The sequence below is a fragment of the Homo sapiens genome, chromosome 16 (assembly GCF_000001405.40).
Source record: "Homo sapiens chromosome 16, GRCh38.p14 Primary Assembly".
Taxonomy (NCBI): Eukaryota; Metazoa; Chordata; class Mammalia; order Primates; family Hominidae; genus Homo; species Homo sapiens.
The window spans coordinates 35,414,030-35,430,676 of record NC_000016.10 but is presented as its reverse complement, the minus strand read 5'-3'; the positions used below and the strand labels follow the sequence as shown (position 1 = coordinate 35,430,676).

General features: G+C 38.8%; 3 pseudogenes; 1 reads left to right on the top strand and 2 right to left on the bottom strand.

Annotated features, from left to right (window-relative positions):
• On the bottom strand, nucleotides 3,052-5,430 carry C2orf69P3 (chromosome 2 open reading frame 69 pseudogene 3; annotated as a pseudogene).
• On the bottom strand, nucleotides 9,295-10,454 carry AGGF1P5 (angiogenic factor with G-patch and FHA domains 1 pseudogene 5; annotated as a pseudogene).
• On the top strand, nucleotides 15,863-16,523 carry RARRES2P7 (retinoic acid receptor responder 2 pseudogene 7; annotated as a pseudogene).

The window sequence follows — 16,647 nt, the reverse complement described above, 5'->3', positions numbered from 1 at the left end:
GTTTCATTATATAGTACATTGTTTTACTTAAAGTCACAGTTTCCAAAAATCTATCAACAAACTGACAACATACTCTAATTAGTATTATAGTGTATAGTACATTATAGAATTAGACTGTTGTAGTATGTTATTGTAGTCTTAGCAATTGGTGGTATAATGTGTTTCGGTTTCCCCCAAGATCACAAAATTATTCAGACCAACAAATAACAACCTCCTTTGGGAACCAGGAGCATCTCACTCTCTTGATACTACAAAGCCTTCCCCTGGTGCCTCCTGTTTGTTTTCTCTACTCCCAAGTGCAATCCCTGTGTGGATCTGTACACCTTACACACTTTCCTCCTTCCATGATTATATGTAATGAATATCTGCTGTCAATCTCTTTAATCCAATGATTGGTGCCATGGCTTTAACTGTTCCAGTAGCCCTAGGGTGGTAATTTCTCCCTCACCAATGAGGTAAAGGGGAGGCTAATCAAACAATTCACAACACAAACTGGATTAATCACTCATGACTGAGGACACCTGCTCAACATTAACTGCTTTTGGCCTACTGGTTTCATGATACATTAAAAGTCACCTCTGTCAGAACCACCAGCTGGTGATGGGCTTTTGCTTTTGTCTAAATAGCAGTTTGTGGCTATTATCATGAGTTGCCTTCCCTACCTGCACTAAAGCACACTAATCACCTACACATAAATGGTCAATTGACTCTGCTCCAGCATAATGTGTCATCAGGTTTAGCCTGTGTTTGGCAGGCAGTTTGAAAGACATTTGCCTGTCAAGGCAGTGAAAATACAGCACCTTGATCAGTCAGCACTTAAGTCCTGATTACCTGATAATAGTCAGGCTATATCCCTGTGGTCACTTCATCTGGTCTGATTATCATTACAAACAAAAAAAAAAATCAGTAAGGTTCTGGATCTCCTAGTTGTATAAAGAATATAGATGATTATGATACTCATGAATATTCTATAAAATACTTGGGTCTTATCAGAGTTCATTATACAGGTAAAACTTTGCCTCCTATGGGCACACTATCCAGCAATTAGGATTATCACTCTCACACATGCACAAAGCCCACTGGTGAGGTTCTGAATCTCACATGTGCAAACAGTCCACGGTTGGAATTGGGACTGTTCTATGTGGATCTGGCAACAGTTTGGAAGGTGACTCATTTCTGGACCCAACTCATAGTCATGTGAATGTCTCTCATGCCTGGTCCCAGGTAGTAGAAGAGACGTTGATTCTTGTATCTAGGCTTACTGCAACAGATAAGATCCTGGGCTTTCCACTTTTACAGACGTCTCAGAGAATTACAACACTCATGCATATTGAATAATACCCTAAGGTGGTACAGAGAGTGTGAAAAGAGTGCCCAGCTCAAAATTTTGATTGTGACTCTTATATGCACACACAGCCCACAGTTAGGATTAAATGTGAAGAGAACCCACTCAGGAGGTCCTGGATCTCACTTACAGAAATAGTTTACAGTTAGAATTGTGACTATCATATCTGGATCCATCCACAAATGGGATGGTGGCTCATTTCTGAACCCAACTCACAGGGATACTGATGACTCTCATACCTGGACTCAGCAAATAGGACAGGTGTTGACTCTTATGCCTGAACTTAGGGCAACATGTAGGATCATGGGTTTATACCATCATGAAGGTCCCAGAGAAGGTTTCATTGTCATGCAGACATTATAGAGCCCTTAAGTGGCACAGGGGTTGTCTTATAAAGACCCAGCACATTGGTGATATTGTGACTCTTCTATGCACACACAACATACAGTGAGGAATGTCATCTTCCCATATGGACATAGTCCATTGTTGAGATTCTGAATATCACATCCAGATCAGTTGAAAGTTGACATTGTGACTCTCATATGTGGATCCAGATCACAGGTTGAATGGTGACTTTTATACCAAAACTCAGCACACCTGTGAGGCAGTGACTGCTCTAATTAGACAGTGTTTGCAGGTGAGGTTGGAGCTTTTATGCATGAATTCTGTTGACTATTGAGATTGTGATTTGTGTACTTTAACACAGTTCACAGAAAGTGTTGTCTCTTATACCCTGAGCCAGAAAATGTGTGGGACTGTGAATCTCATCCCTAGACCTTCCTGCAAGTGTGACTTTGACACATAATTATTTTCTCATCACCTGATTGACTTTACTCCCTTGCATGAGCCCTGCCAACAGTTGGGATTGTGACATATACCTGACCCAAACACCTAGGGGATGTGACTGTCCTGCCTGGGTCCCACCCACATGGGACATTGTAATGTATCTCCTGGCCCATCACCTGGGTGATGAGACTCTACTTTCCTGCCTGTGCCCTGCCTCCAGTAACAGAAATCTGGGAATATTACCTATGTAGTATGACTCTCCTCTCATGACTGGGTCCTGTTAACAGGGGGAGATGGTGACATATTGCTGGGCCCAGCACCTAGGTGATGTGACTCTTTTGACTGCATTCTGCCTACGGTGGGCATTGTGACATATCACTGAGCCTAGCATAATGGTGATGTGACTTTCCTGTGTAGGTCCTGCCCATAGAAGGATATTGACATTTCCCTGCACCAGCGTTCAGGTGATGTGACTTTCCTCCCTGGTTCTGCTCACAGGTGGGATTGTGACATATACCTAGGCCCAGGCAACAGTCTGGCCTAGGTATAGGTGATGATGCCTTTCTTACATGGTACCTTTCTTACATGATGTGTTTCCGTGAATATGATAGAAGAAACTTTGACTAACAACTAGGATTAGGGCAACAACTAAGGTCCCTGGTCTACTGATTGTAAAAATGTCACAGAAGATTATGACCTTCACATGTATGTTATAAAGCCCTTGGGGTGTATAGAGAGTTACATAACAGGGGCCAGCAAAAAGTGAGCTTGTAACTCTCATAGACACATGTAGCCAACAATTAGGATTATCACCTTCATACATGGACAGGGTCCACTAGTGAGATTCTAAATCACACAAAAATGCAGTTCAGAGTTGAAATTGTGACTGTCATATGTGGGTCTGGCCTCTGGCTGGATGATATTTAAACTTTCCCTTGTAACTTTTCTTACAGCAATGTAATTTTGCATTTTGGCCAAGAATAACTTTTTTTTTCCCCAGACAAAGTCATCATTGTGGAGAAAAGTTGATTTAGATATATGGAATCTGTTTCCTTTTTAACAGATCATGAACAAATTGAGCATTACATATTTATCTTGCCTAAGTTGTTCCCTTTAAAAAAGGCTAATACAGTGAAAAATGTGAAATTTTCTCTGTAGTACATTTTTATCCAAAATTTATAAATATGCTCAATTTAAAATGATTTTCCAAAACAACTGGTTTTTGGGCAAGATTCAAGAAGCCCCAGAATGTCTTATCCAAAATAATAAACTAAAGACTGTCAATTAAAAATTAGCGATAGTGTCTAGGTGGAATTTGTTTTCTTTGTTTTAGAGATGAGGTCTCATTACGTTGCCTAGGCTGGAGTGCAGTAGCTGGTCATAAACACAATCATGGTGCATTACAGCCTGGACTCAAAGGATCCTCCTGCTTTAGCCTCCTGAGTAGCTGGGATTAAAGGAATATGTCACCACACCTGGCTATGTTTTTAAAAACCACTTTTACACTATTGCAAATTTTTGGACATTGGGAAACAAATGTATTTTGACTCTCTAAAAAAAGTACTTGGTGGCATATTAAAGAATGAGTCATTGAGTTTACAAAACACAAGAAGCAGGGTACAGTTATTCCAAAACAACATTGTGCCTGTGCTTTTGTTTGAAGAGAAGTAAAATGTTTCCACTCAAGTTTTAAGTGACAGAATAGCTAATTACTGTTAAAATGCCACCAAAATTAGTAAAGAAACAATTTTAGTTACCTATTACAAGAACTATGTTATAACTTTCTTTTTTAAGGGTCTTATAGTTCCTCACTATTATCACAAACCACCGTGTTAGATTTCAAAGTACCTAATTTTAACCCAATCCTAATTAAAAACTGCTCACATTCACAAGCAAGAAATACTATTGCACATTACACTCATATTGGAGGAATGTGTGCTTCCCCCCATACCCCCAAACTGACAATGCATCTATCAATTACATTCCATTATCTGAATTTAAAATACTGAAAAGTGCTTATGCTCTTCCACTGAACAAGTACATTAATATACTTGTAGTCTCAAAATACTTCATGATCTCTGAAGTGATTCTCTATGGAGGGAGCTTCCTTTGTGAAATGAACTCAGCTAGTCACCTGCAAAACAATATCCCTAAGTATCGAAACAAATTTATTTTGCTCTTTTCCAAATCAAGATCCCATTGGATCATGTACTTAGTACAGTGTTACATGGGTTTGAACAATAATCCCCGTTTGTGCAAATTCTTTCAAGACTTATGGTGAAGTAACCCAAGTATTGCTTCCTCCGGAATGACCACCATTTAGCCAATACATTGTTCTTACGCTTTTAATGAAAGCATCCATGTTCTTGTCTTTCTTGGCTTCTTTCAATTAAAAAAGAAATTGATTCAAAACGACACAACCTTTACTGAATCCCGTAAAGTAAAAGATGCATCATTTAGTGATGGTGGATAAAAACTCATGGCTGACTCATCAGATTTTTTACAGGTCCTCTCTTTTTCTCCCTGGAAACGATTTGTAGTATGAAAAGAACCGCACTACAATTAGATGCTGTGGAGTCCTTTTTCCAATCATTCAAATTTTTCTTTGATTAAACTATTATGACTTAAAAGCCTTAACTAATAACATATAAAACTGCTTAAAAGCTCCAGAGTCAGTATTGTGTTCTGGGGAACCAAACACGTTACTTTTCACAAAACTATTATGGCAGCTGAATTTGTGCAAATGCATTCAGGAGCACTTTTATCACCCAAATATAGCTATTGGGGAACCGGTGGGCTAAAATAGTGGCAACATTTTCTAGACTCCAATTTTCCCATTGGTAATTTGCAGGATGACGAGTCATAATTTCACGGTAATCCTGCACATTCCCGGAGAAAGAGAGGACGTGGCGGCTGCGGCTCTTCCTTCACCCACTCCCCGGAGATGTCCCGCCGCTCCAGTCCCGCCTTGGTCGCCGCCAGCAGGAGCAACTCCGTGCTACGCGGCCCATCGGCTCCGGGGATGGCGAACAGCCACAGGCTCTGAGGCGGCGCCTGGCGACGGATTGGGAGCATCGTGCACCGCCGCTGCTGCTGGTTTCATGGTTCTGTCCTGAGAGCAGGACAAGGCATCTCCAATTCCAACGTGAGGCAGCAGGAGCAGCAGCCGCCGCGACCGCAAAGACCCGAGCTGTTTGGAGGTGGAGGGTAGGGAGTCCTGAGGTTGGGACTGCTGCAGGACGCCCAACTGTCGGGGCCACGGCCAGGCCAGAAGCCAGTGCGGGGCAACCACTTCAGAGGCCGATGTCAGCGCGCAGCGCTGGATTTCATTATTTGTGTGGTTAAATCTCATTCCATTGTGTGTATACACCATATTTGCTTTATCCATTTATCCCTTGATGGACACTAAGATTGATTCCATATCTTGGCTACTGTCAATAGAGCTATGATAAACATGGAAGTGCAGATATCTCTTCAATATATTATTTCCTTTTGATATATACTCAATAGTGGAATTTCTGGAGTATATGGTAATTCTATTTTTAGGTTTTTGTTGTTTTGTTTTTTGTTGTTTTGTTTTGAGAAACCCTCATAGCTTTCCAAGAGGTTTCTAAATAAATAAATAAATAAATCTAAAAATGTACCAAATTTACATTCACACCAATAGTGTTTAAGTGTTCCCTTTTCTCCACATCCTCATCAAACCTTGTTATCTTTTGTCTTCTTGATAATGGCCATTCTAAATAGGGTGAGGTACTATCTCATGTGATTTTGGATTGCATTTTCCAGATGATTAGTGATGTCGAGTATTTCTTTGTGTCTTCTTTCGAAAAACGTCTGTTCAGGTCTTTTGCTCACTCTTTAGTTGGGTTTTTTGATTTTTATTGTTGTTGAGTTGAGTCCCTTATATATTTTGGATATTAACTCCTTGTCAGATGCACATATTTTCTATTATTTTATAGGTTATAGGTTGTCTTATCACTCTGTTAATAGATATGTATGCTGTCCAGAAGCTTTTAATATTTTATTTATATTAATTTTTCTGTTTTCTGACTTGATACAAAGGTAAGAGTTTTCCCTCAGCTTCATATGTTGTCTGTCTTCTATCTCACTGCTTTTAAGAATTTTTCTTCTTTTTGGTGTCATGTAGTTTGATCATTATTCTTTTTTTTTTCTCTAGACGGAGTCTTGCTCTGTTGTCCAGGCTGGAGTGCAGTGGCATGACCTCAGCTCACTGCAACCTCCACCTCCCAGGTTCAAGCAATTCTCCTGCCTCAGTAACTGAGATTACAGGCGCATGGCACCACCCCTGGCTAATTTTTGTATTTTTAGTAAAGATGGGGTAATAGAACACCAGAATTTATTCTCCCTGTCTAACTGTAACTTTGTAACTTTGACAAACCTCTCCCCATTTCTTCACCCCTTCATGCTGCCTAGCCTCTGGTAACCACCATTCTACTCTCTACTTCTGTGAGATCAACTTTTATAGATGTCACATGAGTGGTACCATGTGGTCTTTTTTCAATCTGTGACTGGCATATTTCACTTAACATAATGTCCTCTAGGTTCATCCATGTTGACATAAATGACAGAAGTTCATTCTGTTTTATTATTGAACATTATTCCTGTGTGTGTGTGCCTGCATGCGTGTGTGTATGCATACATGCGTGTGTGTGTGCATATGTGTGTGTGTGTAACATTTACTTCATTCATCTGTAGATGGGCACTTATACACGGTTGATGAGAATGTAAATTGGTACAACCCTTAGGGAAAACAGCATGGAGGTTTTTCAAGAAATTATAAATAAAACTACCATATATGTTACCCAGCAATCTCATTACTGGGTATATATCAAGAGGAAATAAAATCAGTATGTCAAAAAGATAATTGCACTCATGTTTATTGAAGCAGTATTCATAATAACCAAAACTATCATTTAAGTATTTCTTATCTTTTTTGACACCTTACACTCTAAACTTGTATAGGATTCATGTCTTGTTTCCAATTTCTGAAGCTTATGAGTCACCGATTCCTTGAATATTGCCTTCCTGTTTATATAGTATAGTAAAACCATTAATTGTTTTTCATTTCTTCTCATCTAATCTTCATATATAAATAATTTGTATTTTGTATTAATTTGCCTTCTAAAAAGTACAAAACCACATTAATTGTGCTCAGCATTTCAGTTTACTAGTTCTCTCATCAGCTCAGTCTATTTTAATGTGTAATTTGTATGCTATCCATTAAACTTTTTTTTACTACAGTTTCAATACTTTACTTTCCATTTGCCTCTTTTCTAAATATGACTTGACAAGCTCATAAGTTTTTTCCACATTATTTTGGTTTCTTGTTTTTTTCATTATATTGGCAAGCACTTAAATATAAACATCATATCTGAGTTTTATGTGCCATATATATTATCTAATGCTTCATACTAGTAGCTTATCTCCTTTGTGCAACATAATTTATAATTTAGTTCTCACACATGAAAGACAGCACACTCCAGATGACAGCAGGCAATTTATCTATGTTTATTCCATTTGCCTTGTCAGAAGCTGAACAACCCACATAGATTTGACATCCTTGTGATCAAATGCATCTGAATGGAGCAATGGCCTCTTAGGTTAATGCTTCTCTGTATCATTACCTTTATCTACTTCTGATCCTAAGAAGTTTCCATAATTTTATTTCAACTATATTAAGCATTTTGTGAATTCTTGTAACTTCTTGGTGATTTTAGTTATCTTTATTAAGTTTTTATAGCATGTTATTTTCCTGAAAAGCAGAAATATCAACAGTTGCATACATAAGTAAAATATTTTACATAGGTATTCTATGGCATAGATCACCATCTCATGAGAAATTCCAAGTTTCTTCATTTGAAATACTGCTCTTTTCAATAGACCACGTGGTAATAATTTGTAGAATGTGATTGCTTTTTTACCATTAGAAAATTAATTATTTGTTATGTTATGCACAAATTTCTGGAATACTTCACTGCAGTAAATAGTATATGGTGAGAATTATTTTTTTAACATAAAACTAATATGGATAAAATTATCTGAACTCAAATCTTTTGGCTTCAATTGCTATTCTACCTCATTAGCACTTCCCTAACTCCATAAAAGTTATCATTTGAATTTTTTGTTTAATTCAGAATTTATTGAAAACATTTTTAATGTAATAATGTTTTTATTGCAACTGAGGACATTTTCAATAAATATCTTAAACTTGAGGCTCTGGCTAAGTATTCCTTTTGTACTAGAAATCAGATTTCTCTGGTGCAATTCCATTGCCTGCAATAATATTTATGAAAACTACAAACACCAGCACACTATATCAATACTATACTCAGTTGTTCATATCTAAAAAAATCTCAGTAGCTATGATACAAACCAAATATAAATGCTGAATGTGTAGTACAAATAAACAGATTCTTCACAGAAGAAAACAATAACAGACTGATTTTCTACAATATGTCACCTTTTAATTAGTTCGTTAATAATATTATTTAGGCTATTTCGAGTATATGAGGTTCTTTTTTGTTCTGAGACAGAGTTTTCCTCTTGTTGCCCAGGCGGGAGTGCAATGGCACAATCTCAGCTCACTGCAACCTCCGCCTCCCAGGTTCAAGCGATTCTCCTGTCTCAGCCTCCTGAGTAGCTGGGATTACAACATGACATGCCACAACATCCAGCTAATTTTTGTATTTTTGGTAGAGACAGGGTTTCATCATATTGGTCAGGCTGGTCTTGAACTCCTGGCCTCAGGTGATCCCCCTGCCTTGGCCTCCCAAAGTGCTGGGATTACAGGTGTGAGCCACTGTGCCCAGGCAAGAGGTTCTTTTATCCAGGTTCTAAATGGCATAAAAAGGATGCATATAGTCAGATTTATTTTTATAAACTTTTGATGTTTCTTTTGCTGTCTTCCTGTGAATACATGGAGACAAAAACTAATGTACATTTAAGTCATTAGTGGTCATTAGTTTTGCTTATATGGCTTTTTGCTTATAGGGATGTTGTAAATGACAAGATAAAACCATGAAGTTTGATAAACTCATCTGTGCCCTGTAAACTTTAGTCCACTTACTGTATTACTTGATTCAGTCACTATTTATCAGTTTAAAAATGGTTTTGAAAAGCTGTAAAGCAAGCTTTTTTACACATTTCTGAATCGGGAAGGGGTAAACTGACACAGTTCCCCTGTGCCACCGACTCTTTTGGGGAGAAGAGTTTTGCAAAAAATAAAATAAAATAGATAAGAGTTTCCAAACTCTATTTTTTGAAAAGCTTGTTTTTGTTTGTTTGTTTATTTTTGTTTTATATGATTAAACTTCACTCTACAGTCCCTTTTACCTAAGGCATGGTCCCTGGGTCATCTTTTTAAGTTTTAGTTTCTGGGAAGTTTTCATCAAACCTATCTCATGCTTTGTCCCAGTTTGTTTGTTTTTGTTTTGAAGAAGGTGAACACCTTTAGTTGAGGATGGATTGCCTGTCCCCAGGCCTACGTGTGTTTGCCAAAGCTGAAGCTGAATCAGAGTTTTCATTCCTACACCATCCTTCCCCAGGCCCTCTCTTTCTTACCACCTCATCTTCTCCAACATCATCCGACCTTCGTTGCTGTCAGTAATTTCAGAATGAACAGATGCAGGAGCACCATCTCTTTGGAAAGTTCCTTCACTTCCAATCTGCTCACTATGTCTTCCAACTGTATCTTTATATTCTAGGTTTTTCAATGTCTATACCTCTTCATAGTGTATATTCTGTAAACCATATATTACTAAGATTTTATTTAATTATTTTCTTATTTCCAACTCTTTTTTGTCCTTACTTAGTGTTGAACCAATAAATAATTCATCTTTCTTATCAAGGCAAAGGTGAGTTCTAACCTGCTGTGGTTCGCAGCCATCACAGGTATCACTTCCAGGTTGAATGTAAAAGGGTAACCCAGTCTCTCCAATCTCCACTTCACGTCTATGCTCAGGTACATAAAGGTCACATTTAGTTTTCAGCTGAACAATACTTTTTCCATTAGTTGTTCCATTTTGACTGCCTTCATCTACAAATACATAAGTTTGTAAGTCTTGGTCAAAATAAATTTCTGCATGAAACTTACTGACACCAACTTCAGGGACTCAAAGAGTATGCTCCAGATCATTTTCTCTTCCAATTGCAGCAAGTTTTACAGCAGTAATGACAAAGTGTGATCCTGCCTGCAACACAGGTGATCTAATGACAATTACTCTAATACATGGGAGTCAATTTTTTTTTCTTATTTTCCTCCTCAGTATCTTCTGAAGTTACATTGCCTTCACTGGTAATGTGAGGAGGGACTATGCTGGGGCCATACCAGACGCCTAAGGAGACAGAGGGCACAAGAGTACAGGCAGGAAAAGCAGCCTCCTCCTGGGTGGCTGGTGTGGGCCCTGCCAGGACACCCTAAAATGCATTTCCTGGAGCCAAACAGGGCTGTGGGCAACAAGTAAAGGGATGGCTGATGGCCCTGCTCAATCTGCACAGCCTGGAACCTGGAAAACTCCTGGGAACTATTACACCTTCCCCAGCTACAGGAACAGTGGGAGGAGCCTCGGAGAAGTCAAGGGGCCAGAATCGCTCTGGCCATTCCTAGGTTGAGTCAGAAACAGTGGCCAAGAGAGTTTTAAATAAACTTTACATGTGGCTAGACATGACCTGTCGATTACTCTTATTTTTTTCCACACTTATTGAGCTATGATGTACACATTAAAAAGTGTATATATTTAGGGTGTACAATAGAGAGCTTTGAGATGTGCATACATCTCTAAATTATCTCAATTAAGCTAGTTAACATATCTATCCCCTCACATAGCTACTTTATGCATTTCTGTGTGTGTGGTGAGAGTACCTCAGATCTACTTTTGTAACAAATTTCAAGTACAAATTATTATTAACTATAGTCACCATTCTGCACATTAGGTCCCCAGCAGTTTTTCATTATATAACTGACAGTATGCACCCTTCAATGGATAGAGCCTCACTTTTCCCCACTTCATAGCTCATGGTAACTACCATTCTACTCTCTGTTTCTTTCTTTTCTTTTCCTTTCTTTTCTTTTTTCTTTTCTTTCTTTTCTCTTTCTTCTTTCTTTCTTTTTCTTTCAGATTCCACATACAAACGAGATCATGCAGTATTTGTCTTTCTGCATTTTGCTTATTTCACCTAGCATAATGTCTTCAAGGTTTATTAATATTCTTGTAAATGAAAGAATTGCATTCTTTACTAAAGCTGAAATTCTGTCTCACACACAGTTTATTCATTTATTTGTATCAAAGGAGTGCAGATACCCTTGGTGATACTGATTCTATGTTCTTTGGCTATATACTCAGAATTGGGATTAATGGTACTTCTAGTTTAAAAATTTTAAGGAACCTCTAAAATTTTTTTTATATATAATGGCTGCACCAGTGGACAAGCTCAGCAACGGTGTACAAATATTCTTCCTCTGCATTCTAACACTTTTTATCTTTTGACTTTTTGATAACAGCTATCCTAACACCAGGATAAGGTGATATTGCATTGTGATTTTGATTTTAATTACTCTGATAATTAGTGATGTTGAGCATGTTTTTATACACCTGCTAGCCATTTGTATGTCTTTGGAAAATGGCTATTTAGATGTGTTGCCCAGTTAATCAGGGAATTGGTTTTTGTTTTTTTCTGCTGTGCATTTTTTCACATATTGATTAGTATTACATATATTATGGATAGTAACATATTATCCTACATATGGTTTACAAATATTTTCTCCCATCCCATATATTGCCTTTATATTTTGTTGATTGTTTACTTTATTGCACAGAAACTTTTTACTTTGATATAGTTCCACTTTTTTATTTTTGCTTTTGTTGCTTGTGTTCTTTGTGTAGGATTCAAAACATCATTGCCACAACTAGTGTCAAGAGCTTTTTCCCTATTATTTTTTAGAGGATTCATGATTTCAATTCTTATGTTTAAGTCTTATTTTATTTTATTGTATTTTATTTTACGTTCAGTTCTGGAATATGTGTCCAGAACATGCAGGTTTGTTACATAGATATACATGTGCCATGGTGGTTTGCTGCACCTATAAACGCATTATCTGGGTTTTAGGCCCTGCATGCCTTAGGTAATTGTCATAATGCTCTGCTTCCCCTTGCCCCCCACCCCCTGACAGGCCTCAGTGTGTGATGTTCTTCTCCCTGTGTCCATGTGTTCTTATTGTTCAGCTCCCACTTATGAGTGAAAACATGTGGTGTTTGGTTTTTTGTTCTTGTGTTAGTTCACTGAGAATGATGACTTCCAGCTTCATCCATGTCTCTGCAAAGGTCATAAACTCATTCTTTTTTATGGCTGCATGGTATTCCATAGTGAATATGTCCCACATTTTCTTTATCCATTCTATCATTAATGGGCATTAGGGTTGGTTCCAAGTTTTTGCTATTGTAAATAGTGCTGCAATAAATATATGTGTGCATGTGTATTTATAGTAGAATGATTTATAGTCCTTTGGGTATATACCCAGTAATGGGGTTGCAGGGTCAAATGGTATTTCTGGTTCTAGATTCTTCAGCAATCGCCACACTGTCTTCCTCAATGGTTGAACTACTTTACACTCCCACCAACAGTGTAAAAGTGTTCTTATTTCTCCACAGCCTCACCAGCATCCATTGTTTCCTGACTTTTTAATGATCACCATTTTAACTGGCATGATATACTATCTCATTGTGGTTTTGATTTGCACTTCTCTAATGACCAACAATGATGAGCTAAAAAGAGCATGTTTAAATAAGTAATTTTTACATAATTCCTTTTCCTCCTTGGAATTATATTTGAATTCCATTTCCCCAACAGACTTGTATTCTGTTAAGGACCTCTTCAATGAGAACTACAAACCACTGCTCAAGGAAATAAGAGAGGACACCACTGACTTTCTTCAAAGAAATAAAAGAAACTACTTTAAATTTCATATGGAACTAAAAAGAGCCAAGACAATCCTAAGCAAAAAGAACAAAGCTGGAGGCATCATGCTATCTGACTTCAAACTATACTACAAGGCTACAGTAACCAAAACAGCATTGTACTGGTGCCAAAACAGATATATAGACCAATGGAACAGGACAGATGCCTCCAAAATAACACCATGTATCTACAGCCATCTGATTTTCAACAAACTTGACAAAAACAAGCAATGGGGAATGAATTCCCTATTAAACAAATGGTGCTGGGAAAACTGGCTAACCATATGCAGAAAACAGAAACTGGACCCCTTTCTTACACCTTATACAAAAATTAACTCAAAATGCATTAAAGATTTAAATGTAAAACCTAAAACCATAAAAACCCTAGAAGAAAACCTAAGCAATACCATTCAGGACATAGGCATGGGCAAAGACTTCATGACTAAAACTCCAAAAGCAATTGCAACAAAAGCCAAACTTGACGAACAGGATCTAATTAAACTGAAGAGCTTCTGCTCAGCAAAAGAAACTATCATCAGAGTGAACAGACAACCTACAGAATGGGAGAACATTTTTGCAGTCTCTCCATCTGACAAAGGTCTAATATCCAGAATCTACAAGGAACTTAAACAAATTTACAAAAAAAAATCAAAAATTGGGCAAAGGATATGAACAGACACTTCTCAAAAGAGGACATTTATGCAGCCAAGAAACATGAAAAAAAAGCCCATCATCACTGGCCATCAGAGAAATGCAAATCAAAACCACAATGAAATACCATTTCATGCCAGTTAGAATGGCAATCATTAAAAAGCCTGGAAACAACAGATGCTAGCAAGGATGCAGATAAACAGGAATGCTTTTACACTGTTGATGGGAGTGTAAATTAGTTCAACCATTGCAGAAGACAGTGTGGCGATTCCTCAAGAATCTAGAACCAGAAATACCATTTGACCCAGCAATACCATTACTGGGTATGTACGCGAAGGATTATAAATCATTCTACTATAAAGAGACATACACATGTATGTTTATTGCAGCAATATTTACAATAGCAAAGACTTGGAATCAACCCAAATCCAAATGTCCATCAATGATAGAATGGATAAAGAAAATGTGGCACACAGACACCATGGAATACTATGCAGCTATAAAAAAGAATGAGTTCGTGTCCTTTACAGGGACATGGATGAAGCTGGAAACCATCATCCTCAGCAAATTAACACAGGAACAGAAAACCAAACATTGCATGTTCTCACTCACAAGTGGGAGTCGAACAATGAGAACACATGGACACAGGGAGGGGACCATCACAAACCAGGGCCTGTCGGGGGGGTGGGGGGCAAGGGAAGGGAGAGCATTAGGGCAAATACCTAATGCATGCAGGGCTTAAAACCTAGATGATGGGTTGATAGGTGCAGCAAACCACCACGGCACATGTATACTTATATAACAAATCTGCACGTTCAGCACATGTACCCCAGAACTTAAAGTAAAATTTAAAAAAATAATAATGTTTAAGTCTTTATTTTAAACTCACTTTTGGGAGGATATAAGAGAAATGTTCACTATTTCTGTGTGCATATTTAGTTTTTTTCTACACCATTTTTTGATGTGTCTATCTTTTCCTAATTCTGTGGGATCAGTTGAGTATATATGTGTGTTTATTTCTGGGTCCTCTATTCTGTTCCATTGGTTTTTATGTAGTCAATATACTATTTTGATGACTACACTTTTGAAATATAGTTTGAAATCAGGAGGTTTCAGGCTTTCAGCCTTTTTGTTCTAAGTATTTGTCTATTAGGGGTCTTTGGTGGCTCCTTACTAATTTTACAAATGTTTGTTCTACATTTTTTAATGGCATTAAAATTTTGAAGGAAATTTATTTAGCTCCGTAGATTACTTTTTGTACTATATTTTAACAATATTAATTTTTGGAATCCATTAAAACAGGGTATATTTCACATTTTGTATTCTTTAATTTCTTTCCTCAACATTTCATAGCTTTCAGTAGGCATATCTTTGATATTCTTGGTTAAACTTGTTCTATTTAATGAATTATTTCATTCCATTTGATAATATTGTAAATGGAATTGTTTTCTTTATTCCTTTTTCAGATTTTTTTGTTACTGTAAAAAAACTGCAACTGATTTTCATGTTAATATCACATCCTGCGACTTTACTGAATTACTTTCTTAGCTTTAACAGGGTAGTGTTGTTGTTGTTGCTGTCAGTAAAATGGCAGGTATTCTTAACCCTAGTTACACTTCAAATTGATAGTTGCTATTATCATTTCACGATTCTTTAAAATATGACCAGACGGGTTTCTGCTGTTATAAATTCAGTGAAATTCAAATGTTCCCATATAAAATAATTTTGTCAGTGCCTGGAAATGGGGGGTACCCCATGGGAGCCAGAAAATTCAGGATGGGGAAGGAGAAGTTGTGCGGGGGAACCAGAGAGGGTCTCCGGGGTCAGTATGGAGGAGAGGGGGTCGTGTTGGAGACCCAGTGGGAAGAGAGAACGGGCCAGAAAAGGGGTGAAGGGTGGGAGCGGGCAACAGGACTGCTTCCCGACCCGGGCAGATGGCAGGGAAATTTGCTAAAACTGCAGGCCCCAGGGAACAGTGCAGGCAGGGTGGGAGGGAGTGGAGAGGACCAGGTGGACCCCAAGTTCAACGTGGAGAGAGACATTTCCTGGTTCCTTCACCTCGGCCCAGCATTCTGCGGACATGGCCCCCCAGGGAGGCAGTTCCCAGCCGGCTCGGAGAGCTGAGGGGAGCACAGTCGTTTCGCAGGGCCAGGGTGACAGCAGAAACAAGAGATGGCTGTGGATCCCGCTGGCCCCGTGGGTGGACGGGGCGGGGGCGGGGACGGGGCCGAGCGCTTGTGGCCCAGCGCTGGGGCCTGCAGGTGGCCCTGGAGGAATCCACTCACACTTACAGTGGGCCTTCCAGGAGACCAGTGTGGATCGCGCCTTGGAGACGCCCTTCCCAGCTGGAACATTTGTAAGGCTGGAATTTAAACTCTTGAAAACAAGGTGCCGGAAGAAGAACTGGAAGAAACCCGAGTGCAAAGTCCAACCCAAGGGGAGTAAGCGGAAATGCCTGGCCTGCGTCAAACTGGGCTCTGAGGATAAGGTTGCGGCCTGGATGGTCACTGCTCTATAGAGACGCAGGCTCTGCGGGACCCTGAGGAGCACCAACGACCCCGTGAAGCAAGGCCGAGCGGACGGTGAGGACCCCACAGCTACTGCTTCCCTGCACAGTTCACCTTCTCAAAGGCCTGGCCCCCAGCTGAGCCCAGCGCTGAATTGCAGGGGGTCTCCTGGACCACTGCCGGAGGTGACCAGTGGAAGACCCCACCTCCCAGGGAGAGAACCCCACTATACCCCCAGCTAATAAAGCTGCTCCCCCAACCAAAATAAATAAATAAAAATTGATTAAGAAAATTTTGTTTGGTCTTTGAAAATAATGTGTATGCTCCGTTTAGTGGTCAACACAATGCCCATTTATCTATATGCCTAATTAGTCAAACTTTT